Below are 14,487 nucleotides of genomic sequence, written 5' to 3' on the forward strand. Positions count from 1 at the left end.
GCAACTTCCCTAGGGTCACTCAAACAACTAATGTTGGGACTGGAATAAAAATTCAGGTCTGTCTGGGTTTATAGTCTGTACACTTAATCACTAAACTATATTGCCTATATTCCACTCTTTTTCTCCAAAGTCTGTGCTTTTGTCTGATGATTTACCAATTCTAGAGCTTCTATTTTTACTTTATCTCACAAGGAAAGCAAGTTTAGCCCAAGGGAAACTTTGTACAGTTGTGTATGGCTTCCTACAACCAAGGTATCATCTTGCTGATGTACAGATGGGGGTTGAAAAAACCTAAAAACTTCCTTCTGTTGTGGTCTTTCAAAGTTTTAAACCCTCATCTTCTCCAAATCTGAGTGTTTGTCCTATGAAGGTTGTCTCCCAATCTCCATCAAGCCCCATTGTTGTCCTTACTTCCTTGCATTGTTGATTTATCCAAGGGTTCAGATATTATTATCAACCAAGTGTTGGTCTGCATGACTCTACAATTCATCTTATATGTCATTTTCTTAGGGTCTTCCTGGTTCTGATGGATAAGGACATCCAGGAACAAAAGGAACAAAGGTGAGGGTAACCTTACAGGGTATTCTGAACTAAGGACTGTAGTTTTTATTTTATTTTATTAAAATAAGTGTTATTTTCCAAGTTGTATGCCAGGAACGGTTTGTACATATTTACAAAATGTTTTGGCCACCAGAGCTCCCTCCCTAAAAAGTAAAAATTGATTTTGTCACTCTCTTATTTAAAAGTCAAACTTCTTCCCTCATCTTCCACATATATGTCAGATATTCCCACCTCAGCTCTGGTAGTGCCAGACCCTTTCTCAACTTCCTTGGCATTGCAAACGCTCGTGTTTCCATTTGGAATGTGCTTCCTGATCTCCATCTCTTGGACAATTTTTACTCATTTTCTAAGACCCAGTCAAGTACTAACTTCTCCTTGTGGAAGCAGCCTTGGTCTTCCCCAGACAGAATTTGCTGTCCTATACACTGTGTTCCTAAAGCACGTTCATATTTCTGCAGTAGCTCCTTTCTGTTAAGGTTGTATTGTAATTTATTCTTGTATCTCCCAGGCAATAAACCTGACAGCAGCATTGCACTTTTGTTTTTCTGGAGTTGAGCCTGGCAGAGAGTAGGTGTTCAATAAGTGTATTTGTTTTTTTTTTCTTTTATTATTATACTTTAAGTTTTAGGGTACATGTGCACATTGTGCAGGTTAGTTACATATGTATACATGTGCCACGCTGGTGCGCTGCACCCACTAACTCGTCATCTAGCATTAGGTATATCTCCCAGTGCTATCCCTCCCCCCTGTCCCCACCCCACAACAGTCCCCAGAGTGTGATGTTCCCCTTCCTGTGTCCATGTGATCTCATTGTTCAATTCCCACCTATGAGTGAGAATATGCGGTGTTTGGTTTTTTGTTCTTGCGATAGTTTACTGAGAATGATGATTTCCCATTTCATCCATGTCCCTACAAAGAACATGAACTCATCATTTTTTATAGCTGCATAGTATTCCGTGGTGTACATGTGCCACATTTTCTTAATCCAGTCTATCATTGTTGGACATTTGGGTTGGTTCCAAGTCTTTGCTATTGTGAATAGTGCCGCAATAAACATACGTGTGCATGTGTCTTTATAGCAGCGTGATTTATAATCCTTTGGGTATATACCCAGTAATGGGATGGCTGGGTCAAATGGTATTTCTAGTTCTAGATCCCTGAGGAATCGCCACACTGACTTCCACAATGGTTGAACTAGTTTACAGTCCCACCAACAGTGTAAAAGTGTTCCTATTTCTCCACATCCTCTCCAGCACCTGTTGTTTTCTGACTTTTTAATGATTGCCATTCTAACTGGTGTGAGATGGTATCTCATTGTGGTTTTGATTTGCATTTCTCTGATGGCCAGTGATGATAAGCATTTTTTTATGTGTTTTTTGGCTGCATAAATGTCTTCTTTTGAGAATTGTCTGTTCATGTCCTTTGCCCACTTTTTGATGGGATTGTTTGTTTTTTTCTTGTAAATTTGTTTGAGTTCATTGTAGATTCTGGATATTAGCCCTTTGTCAGATGAGTAGGTTGCAAAAATTTTCTCCCATTTTGTAGGTTGCCTGTTCACTCTGATGGTAGTTTCTTTTGCTGTACAGAAGCTCTTTAGTTTAATTAGATCCCATTTGTCAATTTTGTCTTTTGTTGCCATTGCTTTTGGTGTTTTAGTCATGAAGTCCTTGCCCATGCCTATGTCCTGAATGGTAGTGCCTAGGTTTTCTTCTAGGGTTTTTATGGTTTTATGTCTAACGTTTAAGTCTTTAATCCATCTTGAATTGATTTTTGTATAAGGTGTAAGGAAGGGATCCAGTTTCAGCTTTCTACATATGGCTAGCCAGTTTTCCCAGCACCATTTATTAAATAGGGAATCCTTTCCCCATTGCTTGTTTTTCTCAGGTTTGTCAAAGATCAGATAGTTGTAGATATGTGGTGTTATTTCTGAGGGCTCTGTTCTGTTCCATTGATCTATATCTCTATTTTGGTACCAGTACCATGCTGTTTTGGTTACTGTAGCCTTGTAGTATAGTTTGAAGTCTAGTAGTGTCATGCCTCCAGCTTTGTTCTTTTGGCTTAGGATTGACTTGGTGATGCGGGCTCTTTTTTGGTTCCATATGAACTTTAAAGTAGTTTTTTCCAATTCTGTGAAGAAAGGCATTGGTAGCTTGATGGGGATGGCATTGAATCTGTAAATTACCTTGGGCAGTATGGCCATTTTCACGGTATTGATTCTTCCTACCCATGAGCATGGAATGTTCTTCCATTTGTTTGTATCCTCTTTTATTTCATTGAGCAGTGGTTTGTAGTTCTCCTTGAAGAACTACACATCCCTTGTAAGTTGGATTCCTAGGTATTTTATTCTCTTTGAAGCAATTGTGAATGGGAGTTCACTCATGATTTGGCTCTCTGTTTTTCTGTTGTTGGTGTATAAGAATGCTTGTGATTTTTGCACATTGATTTTGTATCCTGAGACTTTGCTGAAGTTGCTTATCAGCTTAAGGAGATTTTGGGCTGAGACAATGGGGTTTTCTAGATATACAATCATGTCGTCTGCAAACAGGGACAATTTGACTTCCTCTTTTCCTAATTGAATACCCTTTATTTCCTTCTCCTGCCTGATTGCCCTGGCCAGAACTTCCAACACTATGTTGAATAGGAGTGGTGAGAGAGGGCATCCTTGTCTTGTGCCAGTTTTCAAAGGGAATGCTTCCAGTTTTTGCCCATTCAGTATGATATTGGCTGTGGGTTTGTCATAGATAGCTCTTATTATTTTGAAATACGTCCCATCAGTACCTAATTTATTGAGAGTTTTTAGCATGAAGGGTTGTTGAATTTTGTCAAAGGCCTTTTCTGTATCTATTCAGATAATCATGTGGTTTTTGTCTTCGGCTCTGTTTATATGCTGGATTACATTTATTGATTTGCATATATTGAACCAGCCTTGCATCCCAGGGATGAAGCCCAATTGATCATGGTGGATAAGCTTTTTGATGTGCTGACAATAAGTGTATTTAAATGAATGACTGCCACTCTCATAAGAAGCTTGTATTTTAATAGGTAGTTAATTGGTCACTGACAGGTCTTAAAGCATGGAGGTCACATGGAACTTGTTGAGCAAATCAAATCTCAATACCCACTGTTATTCTGGATGCTTCAGTCTTCAAGTTACATGTATTGCCTCACAAAATAAGAAATTACTGGAATGTTTAGTGATGCTTAGTTGCTTAATGATGTCCGTACTCTGGGCTGGCTTCTCTGCAATTCTCTTGTTTCCCTGTGGCTGCAAGATGGCACCACTGCCATTTTATTGAGCAGAAAAATGCCTCAAACATAGTAAGTTCTCAGTAAATATCTATGGAATGATGGGCTATGGGGAACCTCAGTGATCATCTAGTTTAGCTTTGTCAATTTACATTTCAGAGAATTGAGGCTTAGAGAAGTGAAGTAACTTGCCTGTGGTCACACAGCTAGTTAGAGGCAGAGCTGAATGTGGAAGCTAGTCCCTTGAAATTCCATCCAGGTAAACTAAATTTTTCTTTGCTATGGACAAGTTTGCATAGCAGGGAAATTCTGGGTAGAATTCAAATATATGTGGTTTGAGCTACATGTCAGTTTGGAGCTAAGCACAAGTGCAGTCTTTGTTTATCATGATACAGTTAAATTATGGAACACAGATTCAGTCCATATTTGCATGAATTTTTCTTTGCGAGATGTAATGGCCTCACTTTAAATGTCTCATAATGCTGATTGGCCAGTTGACTACATTTTCTTAATCTGTTCACTCCCCTTCTCTCTGAGTTGACTATTTTACACCCTCACCTCTCTCCTCAAACTTCCAAGATCTGCTTTGTCTTCCATACTTAAAGCAGATGATCATGCTTCCTATTTCAAGAACAAAATTGAAGCAGGGAGAAAAGAACCTCCATAAATGTTCACCACCAAGTAGGCCAACCTACTTGCCTCTGTACCCATACACCCTGCCTTCTCTCCTACTACTATGGACGAGGGTCCATGGTCTTACCTAAGACTAATCCTTGCCTCCTAGACTGGATTCCACTCCCTTTTGCTTTCTGAGGCTCTCGTTCCATTTTTTTCCCCTGGGCAAAACTCACTGAAGGAGTAGTCTATACCAGTGCTTCTCAACGGAAGTGATTTTGCCCTCCAGGGGACATTTGACAATGTCTGGAGATGTTTTGGTTGTCAGAACTCAAGGAGAGGGTGCTGGCATCTACTGGGTAGAGATGCTGTTTAACATCTTACAATACTCAGGGCAGCCCCTCCCAACAAAGAACCATCAGGTCCAAAATATCAGTGATGCTGAAGTTGAAAAACTGACACTCAAGCCTTCACTCCTCAACCCTCCCCACTCAACTACATCTGCTTTAGTTGAGGTAAACCCCATGTTGCTAAATTCAATGGTCACTTCTCTGCTCTCATTGTGCTCCATCTCTCAGCAGCATTTGACAGATTGATCATGGGTTTATTCCCGATTTTTTCCCTCACTCAACTTCCAGTGCGTTCTATTTTCCTGGTTTTCACTGTCTTCTCTTTCTCATCCTGCTTTGCTAGATCTTCTGGATGTTCTTGACCTTTAAGTATCAGAAGACTGAAAGCTCTATTCTCATACCTTCTTCCCTCTTTACTCACCTCTCCGGTGACATTTCTTGGGGAAATCCAGTTCCATAGCATCAATAACCATCAATCCTGTTATCTCCACTTTATCTCTCCAGCTTGGACCAATATCCTAAACTCTAAAAATATTTCCACTTGGTCGTTTAGCAGGCATCTTAAAATTGGCATGTCCCCAAATAAATTTCTTCTTGTTTTTTTGTTTGTTAACGTTTTGTTACAGAAAAATTCAAAAATAAAAGTGGAGACTAGTATAATGACATTCTTCTGCCTCACCCCACGTTCCTATCACCTAATCCAAACAATGAACAACCCCTGGCCAATTTTGTTTTCTTTTATTTATACACCCAGTCACTTATCCTCCCACCATGCTGATTTCATACCCCCTCCTTCCTCCTCAAACCTCCAAGATCTGCTTTGTCGTCCATATTTAAAGCAGATGATCATTCTTCGTATTTCATTAAGAAAATAGGAGTGAGGAGAGAACGTCTACATACGTTCGCCTACTGTAGGTCATGTGATATAGGTGGGATTTACTTCAAGATAATCATATATTCCATGCATAGACATTTCAGGTTGCATCTTTAAAAGATTATTTAAAAATGTAACCACACTACCATTCTTACACCAAAGAATTAATAATAATCCTTTAATATTATCAAATATCCAGTCAGCCAAAACTGGTTCCCTTAACAACCTGCCCCTCCTCCAGCCTTTCCTATCTCAGGGACTGGAAACTTCATCCATCCAGTTGCTCAAAACAGACACTTGCAGCTGTCATTGATAAATCTTTTTCTCTCACTCCCACATTTAATCCATCAACAAATAGTGGTAAGCCTATCTTCAAAGTACATCCAGCATTTTATCATTTCTCACAACTGCACTGCCACCCTCTGGACCAAGCCAACATAATTTTCCATCTGTGTTACGGCAATAGCCACTGACCTGGTCTCTCTGCTTCCACCCTTGCCTCATATAGTTAGTTCTCCATGCATCAGCTAGAGACATCTTTAAAAACATAGTCAGATCAAGTCATTCCTTTATTCATAGCCCTTCTGTCGTTCTCCATGTCACTCAGAATAAAACCTACTGTTAACATGGTCTATAAGAATTTACACAGTGTGGTCTCTGTGAACTCTTTGTCTTCATCTCCTCCTGCCTGCCCTCCTTGCTCCACTCTGCTTCAGTGTTCCTCAAACATGTCAGCACATACTCTTCCTCTTACTTCAGGGTTTTTTTTTTTTTTTTTTTTTCACATACTCCTCCCTCTGCCTGGAACACTCTTCTCCCAGAAGTCTGCTTGTTTTCTCAATTCATGCTGGTCTTTGCCCAAATGCCGCCTTTATAAAAAGGCTTTGCCTGACTACCTCATATAAAATAGTGTCTCCTCATCCTTTGATACACATGGTTCTTTATTCCTTAATACCCTTTCTGGAATAACATTGATCTCTTTCTCACATATTATATATTTCTTTGTTCATTTTCCTCCCCACTAGCTTGTAAGTTCCGTGAGAGCAAGGTCTTCATTCTGTTCACTGCTGAATTTCCTGTGCCTAGAGAAGTGCTTGGAAGATAGGAGATGTGAATAGATATTTGTTGAATGAATGATTGCTTTGTAGTTTGCCTTTGGTTCTGACAATGAGCACCTGCTTCCCAACACTCAATGTGGTGCCCTCTCCCTTGGTTTCTGTTGGATTAAACCTCAGGTTATTTAAACTGAGAGATAAAAATGCCCTATGGAAGAAGTTTCATTACACAATATACTAGGGAGGGGGGGAAATTTGTAAAAATTATTTACAAGTTGTTTCATGTTGAATTAGAGATATGAAATATGGCCACTTGAGAGCAGCTCAAGATAACAACTGTTGCTATAGTTGTTTTTCCTGGCACCTGTTTTGAGTATATTTCCTCAAAATTATAGTGTCTTCTTTTTCCCCAAGGCATGTCAAGGAAATTTCTTAATCATATGACATTAAACAAGACCTTATCTCATTTCTGACACTAGGGTGAACCTGGATTATAGTGTCTTCTTTTTCCCCAAGGCATGTCAAGGAAATTTCTTAATCACATGACATTAAATAAGACCTTATCTCATTTCTGGCACTAGGGTGAACATGGATTCCCTGGCTATCCTGGTGCACAAGTAAGAAGATATATTTCTGGGCCTGGCAACTGGTAGGCAGCATGTGTCATTTGTTTGTGCTTATTTTTCTTTACACTCAAAGTTCTGCTTTTGATTCTATTAAGGGAGAAGATGGTGACCCGGGCCATCAAGGAGAAAAGGGGGCAAAGGGAATAAGAGGGAAGAGGGTAAGAATCAAAGAAACTTCCTAAGATCTATAGAAGCCCACATCATTACGGAAGTACGTTTCCACTGGGTTAGGACTTCTTAGCAGGAAGCCCATTCCTGCCCAGTCAATGCTCATTCCACACCTTCCTTTGGCTATCCCACTCCCCACTTAATCCCACTCTCATTTATCTCCTGAATACAAATACAGTTTACCAAGCCATAACAACAGAAAATCCAAGTTGGGAGTTTTGGTTTTACAATACCAACCTTTTAAAACCAAGTTTGGGAGCACCTGTGTCTTTGGTAAGTCTAGACATCATTTGGAAGGATATTGTTTTAGCTGTTGAGCAAACATTGCTGTTTCTTTAGGATTCTTCCAAGCCTTAACTTTCTCTTGCTATTTTTAGAAAAGATTCTTGAGAATGTAGTTGCCATCTTGGTGGACTTTGAGTCCACTGTGCTTTATACAAGTCTCCGATTAAAAATCAATTCCTTTATGTTCTGAACAGTCAGCCTTGAACAGCCACAATCACTGGCAGCTCTTTTTGAAGAGTAAGCCTGTGGATATCTAACATCTTGGTAATGTTTAGCCGATCAATGTTAGAGACCAAGGTCTTCTAGGAAATGGACTAGTGTTTACTGCAGAAAAGAGGAAAGGAAAGATAATGTATGTTTTCTAGGTACTCAAGAATTAGCATTTTCATACATTGGCAAGGACATAAAGAAATATTTGATCTGTGCCTAACTTGGCTTGCTGCTGACTATGGTTGCTCTGATCAACTAACTTTTATTTCTAGTTTCAAATAAAAAAAGATAAAGGATTCACTGTATTTAGATAACACTGTGTCATTTCAAATGCTTGGAAGATGAGCAGTGAACCTATGACCACCATGTGCGTTTTCTGAAACACTGAGAACCAGAAGGTGGTAGGGAAATTTTTCCTTTTTCCTGATGTCAGGCCCTTAATGCAGACGTCCTGCATTATTTTTATTATATAACCTCAAGACTCAACAGAGTGTATTGAGTCATATTTTAAGGATCTGTCTAGAAGTGTGTGTTTGTGTGTGTATGTACATATGTGCATGACTGAGGTTGGGTATATAGGGGGGAATTTGGATGGTTCCCATAAAATGACCTTCCTCTCTTTCTATTCTCCATGTCTTGTCCCACAGATATATAGTTTATAAACTAACTGGTCAATAGCAGACTCATTGGCATTAGGAATAATAACATATCAAAATGGATCTGATGGTTGTAATCAAAGAGGAAGCTTATTCTTCTGGCTTGGTCTTTTTTTAGGGTAATGCTGGCTTTCCTGGATTTGTTGGAACTTCGGGTGACCAAGGCCCACCAGGACAAATGGTAATATGTACCCTTCCTTTTTCTTTTGTTTTCAACTGTTGTATAAAAATAAATGAAGATTTGATAAGAAGCATCTCTAAAGAAGAAATGAACATTTGGGACAAACAGTGGGATCAACATAGAGAATGGGGTAAATTTGTCCTATAGCATATTAGCTTCAAGTCTTTATACAGTATATTTATTCAATATATATTTTTACTTGAACATGGGGAAGATATTGGAGTGGCTGGAGATTTATGAACCTAAATAAATAAAATGATGCATAAAACTCACTGGAGAGTGAGTTTATCATTGTTTATCATTGCAAACAAGATGAGCAACAATATTTATGCAAAACTAGGGGGAAACCCTAACAAAATATAATATTTATATAATCTTAACTAACAATGTTGCAAGTCCACAAATATTTTTTAAATTCCCTGGAACATCATTTGATATGAAAGGAAAGAGTTTGAGGCTACGATCCTTCTGCTCTGCGCCTTGTCCTAGGAGGCCAGACTGTCAATCCACGAGGGATGGCGCAGTAGGTCAGCCATGGATTGAACCTGGTGGTCTCACTTGCAGTCTAGGGTTTACTGGAGAGGTGCAACAAAGTCAGAAAATAAAAAATTTTAATGCTAGAAGGACCATTCATGGCATTTTTACAGAAGAGGAAACAAAGGCTGAGATGCTGAGATAATTATAGTGACCTGCCTGAGGTCACAAGTTACCACCTTGTAGATTCTAAATAAGAAAAATGATCTCTAGACTCCCAGAGGTTGGAGCCATGAAGCTCTAATCGCAAGGTTTCCAGAGAAGACTTCTTGTTCAGTATTATGGCAGAAAAAGGGTGGTGCTGGGTGGCCTGAAGAGAAGGGATAAGGGAGGAACTGGGGTCTACTTTAGAACTATCGATGAATGGTCCTGGGATCTTTGATAGCCCTTTTTCTGAATGTGATCCTAAACTATGGTTTCAAAATGACCTGGTCCTCTAAGAGTGTTTCTGTCTAGGCCTTCTGGACTCAGAGGTCTTGGATACACCTCTTAGGCACTCTGGCTTTCTTCCTAAAGGAGTCAGACAGAACTCTAGGGCTGGGAGTGAAGGACAGAAGATGGTCTATGTAGTGTGGTAGAGTTTTTAAGACTCTTTTGCCAACTCTGTAGAAGAATGTGTTGGATCTCAAAATTTTGCATTTTAAACTCAAGTTTCCATTCTTTCCAGGGTATAAAGGGCCCCAAAGGTTTGGTAGATATGACGGTAGATGAAGATTTTAATTCCAAACTTTATTATTATTATTATTGACATGGAATCTCGCTCTGTCACCCAGGTTGGAGTGCAGTAATATGATCTTGGCTTACTGCAACCTTTACCTCCCAGGTTTAAGAGATTCTCCTGCCTCAGCCTCCCAAGTAGCTGGGACTACAGGCGTGTGCCACCATGCTTGGCTAATTTTTGTATTTTTAGTAGAGACACGGTTTCACCATGTTGGCCAGGCTGGTCTTGAACTCCTGACCTGTAGTAATCCATTTGCCTCAGCCTCCCAAAATGCTGGGATTACAGGCGTGAGCCACTGCACCCAGCCAAAACTTTATTCTTCTTAGAACACAAAGCTTTCCACTTTCACAAAATAGAAATCTGTTAATCTTAAAGATTCTTTAGTTTTTTCCTCTTACAAATTCTGTTAGTACTTTAAGTTTATAGACTTTACTCTGAAATGTTATCGCCAAGTCAAATAAAAATAGTAGAATGGTATTTTAAATCTAGCAGGGAATTGGGGTGTTTTTGAGCAACACTAGTTGACATTAAAAAAGAAAAAGACTTTGAGGCTACTACCTTTCTGTAATGTGACTTTTTGTAACTCTCAAAAACTGCTTATAAAGTATTTATAAACCCACACACAGGCTTTTGAATAGCACAGGTTTCTGTGTTTCATGGAACACTTGAAAACAATCTCAAAAGTTATGATAGCGTTTCATCTCCCAAGTACAAAAATACTATTAGGCAGGGGGTGGGGGGTGTGGAGGCAACTGAGGAGCAGGAAGTGATGAGGACTGGGATGGAGAGAAGAACAGAACAGAGAGGAAGGGATCGAAGGAAAGAAGCAGAATGACTAGGTGAGGTGTTAGGGGTGTCTGTCTTGGCAGTCATTCTAAAGAAGTGATATAGGAATTGCTATTATAATATAGAGTGCCAAGAATTGAAAGCATTTCCTTGCATTCTCTGCTGAGATTCTTTGGTTTCAACTTCTTCAAAATCAGGTTTTATTCCATTACTTTGTAAGGCAGATTTAAAAAATGGGTACCCCTTATCTACCTATCTCCAAAAATATGGGCACTACATTGCACACACATCTTTTAAGTGTTTTAAAATATCGACAGGATTTGGAAATGTAATTGTAGAGTATCTCATCGGCTCTGACAATTTTTGGGTTTTCTGTTGTAGATTAAAAAGCTTCAGATAGGCACTGATAACATCCATATGACATTCCTAAGGTGACATGTGTGAATAAAAATATGCTTCAAGTTAGATACTTTTTCCTTTTTCCTGTTCTCCCCCCATCTTTTTAACAGCCTTGCAAAATTGTTGATTTCACACGTGAAAACTGCCGTAAGTTGTTTCGGAAAGGCTCAAAAGGAGCCAGTGGTATGAGCTGGGGATGGATTACGGATTAGGGGCATAAGTCACCTGAGGCTTTGGCTGAGGTTTGGAAGGTGCCTGATTCATTGCGAAAGGCTCTTATAAATTCATCCATTGGGCTCAGTTACCCTTTAGGTAAGTAATCTTTCCCAATGTGGTCTCAGAAATAAAGTGGATTGACAGCATGCCATCTCAACGATGAAGAGAAGCTCCACTGAGCAATACTGTGCCCCAGGAGATGTCATAACTGCACACCTGTGTGCCTACATCTTGCTGCTTCTTATCACAAAACAAAGGAGGTTTGTTCTTTTTATGTAACCCTATTAAATAGGAGGGATCAATAGTCACCCTTTGAGAAGAAATCTGTCCTATTTTATTTACAGTTGTGTTTTGAAAATGGAATTATGAACAATCCAATCTTAAGTAATGTTTTGTCACATCCTCAAGTTGGAATTTATTTATTATGTTCAATGCATTCCAGGATATTTGTGTCCTATGATATGTACAGTTATCTACTTAATGGCCATGGGGTGAGAATGTAGATTTGGCAAATTGCTTAGTTTGGAAGTTTGGGTTTTCTCTGCAATCATCCTGCCCTTCTTACCCTAACCCTTCCATGTTCTCTCTGTTCCCATCCAGTGGCTGTTCAGAGAGATTCTGGACTTCTTTTTCCTATAAATCATAAAGAATAATACCATCAGTGTGATTATGAATTAAAAGAGTCTCAGCGTCAACCATGTAAAAAGTTAAAACCTTTTTACATTGAGGGATGCCATGAAGTCAAAAGTAAACAGAAAAGTGGGAAAAAATAGTTTGTAATATAAGCAAAGGACACAGGCAAAGGAACTAACTTCCTTACTATATCATGTTGAAATATAAAAAATTGCTACTGCTCAGTCATTTTTATCTACAAACACAGACATTGCATAATGGCTAAAACTAAATGTAAAAACAAAAAAACACCACTTTTAGAAAATGGGCAAAAGACATGAATGGGAGATTCAGAAAAGAAAATATACAAACGTACAATAAACCTGTAAAAATGTTCAACTTCACCAGAAGTCATAGAATATAAATTAAAACAATGAGATACCCATTTTGTCTCTCAGGTTGGAAGTGTTTTAAAAATGCCAGAAAAATTCCTATTCAGATTGGGAAATGTGTAAGAGTACATATTGCTGATGGGAGTGTACATTGATACAACTTTTCTGAAGAGCAACTGGCTGGACCATGCATATAAAATCAATACTTACAGAGATTTATATAGGGCTATGATTGGACAAATGTGCACAGATACATGTGCAAGTATGCTCCTCATAAAGGATCATCTATATAGTAAAATAGATGATATTGCTCTAAATTTATTGATGGAAAAAAATCATTACACACTAAGTGAATAAAGATTCAGAATAAATATATCTTAAGCTCCAAGTTTTATAAAATGAAATGAAATAATTATATATTTATTATTTATATACATAAATACATATACATGATGAATTAAGGGTAATTCTATTTTTTGTTTTTTTTAGTATTTTTTGAAAATGTATTACTTGTATACACACACATATATAATACATATAGTTTATAATTAATATATATGTAATTTTATATGTGTATATATTATATACATGTATATAATATAGTTTCAGAATAGCTCAATGTATTCATTAGGTTTAAGTTCAGTTGAATGTGACCTAAATCCTCAGTAACAGTGGTACAAATGTTATTTCTGAAACCATAGGCTGGAACTAGTCAGTTCAGGTTGATATGGAGCCTGTGGTGGTCAGGGATTAGTCCCTTTATATTTTCCTGCTTTGCCATTGTGTGTATATGGGATGTTCTATTCCCCAAATTGCTTCATGGTCTGAAAATATATCAGGCTTCAGTCATCACATCTATATTTCAACCATCAGGGAAAGGAAGGGAAAGGAGAAGAATATTTTTTCAGTTTTACCTATCATCTTTCCTATTCTATTACCTAGAATTTGTAAGATGGCTAAGTTGGGAAATGTTGTCTTTGTTCCAGGCATCCATATGCTCAATGTGAAATTGGGGGTTCCATGACTATAGAAAAAAAGGGAGAATGGATTTTGGGGGACAAGTAGAGGTCTCTGCTACACTCAGCAGGAGCCTGAGAAGGCCATGCTTGAATTTCTCAGAAAAGATGGTTTTTCATATTGAAGCACACACATGGGAAAGGTGCCACTGCCTACATAAGCTAACAATGTCTTCTTTTCTCTCCAAAATAATTTCCCTTCCAGTTTGTTCAAGAGGTAAATAATATTCCTTCTTACTCACTTCAATCCTTACCTCTTTCAAGGCATTACAGAATATCTTAAATCTGTGTATCTGTTGTCTCAAGGTATTTCCAAATGCCCAGCATTCCCAACTGAAGTGGCCTTTGCCTTGGACATGTCAAATGATGTCTCCCTGTTGGATTTTGAGAGGATGAGAGACATTTTATTGTCTCTGTTGATGAAGATGGAAATAAGTGACAGTAACTGCCCAACAGGTGCCCATGTGGCCATTGTTTCCTACAATGCCAAAACCAATTACTTGGTTCGTTTCTCAGACTACAAGGGGAAGGTTGCACTCCTGGAGGCTGTCAGGAACATCCCCCTGGAGCAGTCATCTGGCCGCAGGAACCTCGGGGCCACCATGAGGTTTATGGCGAGACGTGTTCAAACGTGTACGCTCGGGTCTTCTCATGAGGAAGGTGGCTGTGTTCTTCCAGGCGGGCTGGGCCTATGATGCAGCTTCCATCAATACAGCCACACTGGAGCTTGCTGCAGTGGGCATCATCCCCGTGGTCATCACCTTCACAGAGGGGCACAACCTCCCGGACACCCTGCTGGTATGTACGGGGAACCACAAGTGGGCAGGGAGCTGGGGGTGTTAACACCTGGTTTCTACCTCTCCATCAAGAACCACATGAGGAATGAGAGATGTTTAGGGAAAGAATTTCCCTGGAATTGATGTGTATGCAAGGAGTGAGGACTCTCAGTATGGCCTGTATACTGGTGCTACTCCTAGTACCCAC

General features: G+C 39.0%; 1 pseudogene across 1 annotated transcript in view; it reads left to right on the forward strand.

The window, feature by feature from the left end:
• COL6A4P2 (collagen type VI alpha 4 pseudogene 2) overlaps positions 1–14,487 on the forward strand; it is a 60,987-nt pseudogene that overhangs the window by 24,189 nt on the left and 22,311 nt on the right. Inside the window, exons 12-19 of the transcript NR_027898.1 lie at positions 511–561; positions 7,283–7,318; positions 7,423–7,485; positions 8,765–8,827; positions 11,378–11,414; positions 11,609–11,743; positions 13,709–13,720; positions 13,810–14,301. The product of NR_027898.1 is annotated as a collagen type VI alpha 4 pseudogene 2 (transcript). The remainder of the gene's footprint in view (positions 1–510; positions 562–7,282; positions 7,319–7,422; positions 7,486–8,764; positions 8,828–11,377; positions 11,415–11,608; positions 11,744–13,708; positions 13,721–13,809; positions 14,302–14,487) is intronic.

This window comes from Homo sapiens, chromosome 3, assembly GCF_000001405.40.
Source record: "Homo sapiens chromosome 3, GRCh38.p14 Primary Assembly".
Taxonomy (NCBI): Eukaryota; Metazoa; Chordata; class Mammalia; order Primates; family Hominidae; genus Homo; species Homo sapiens.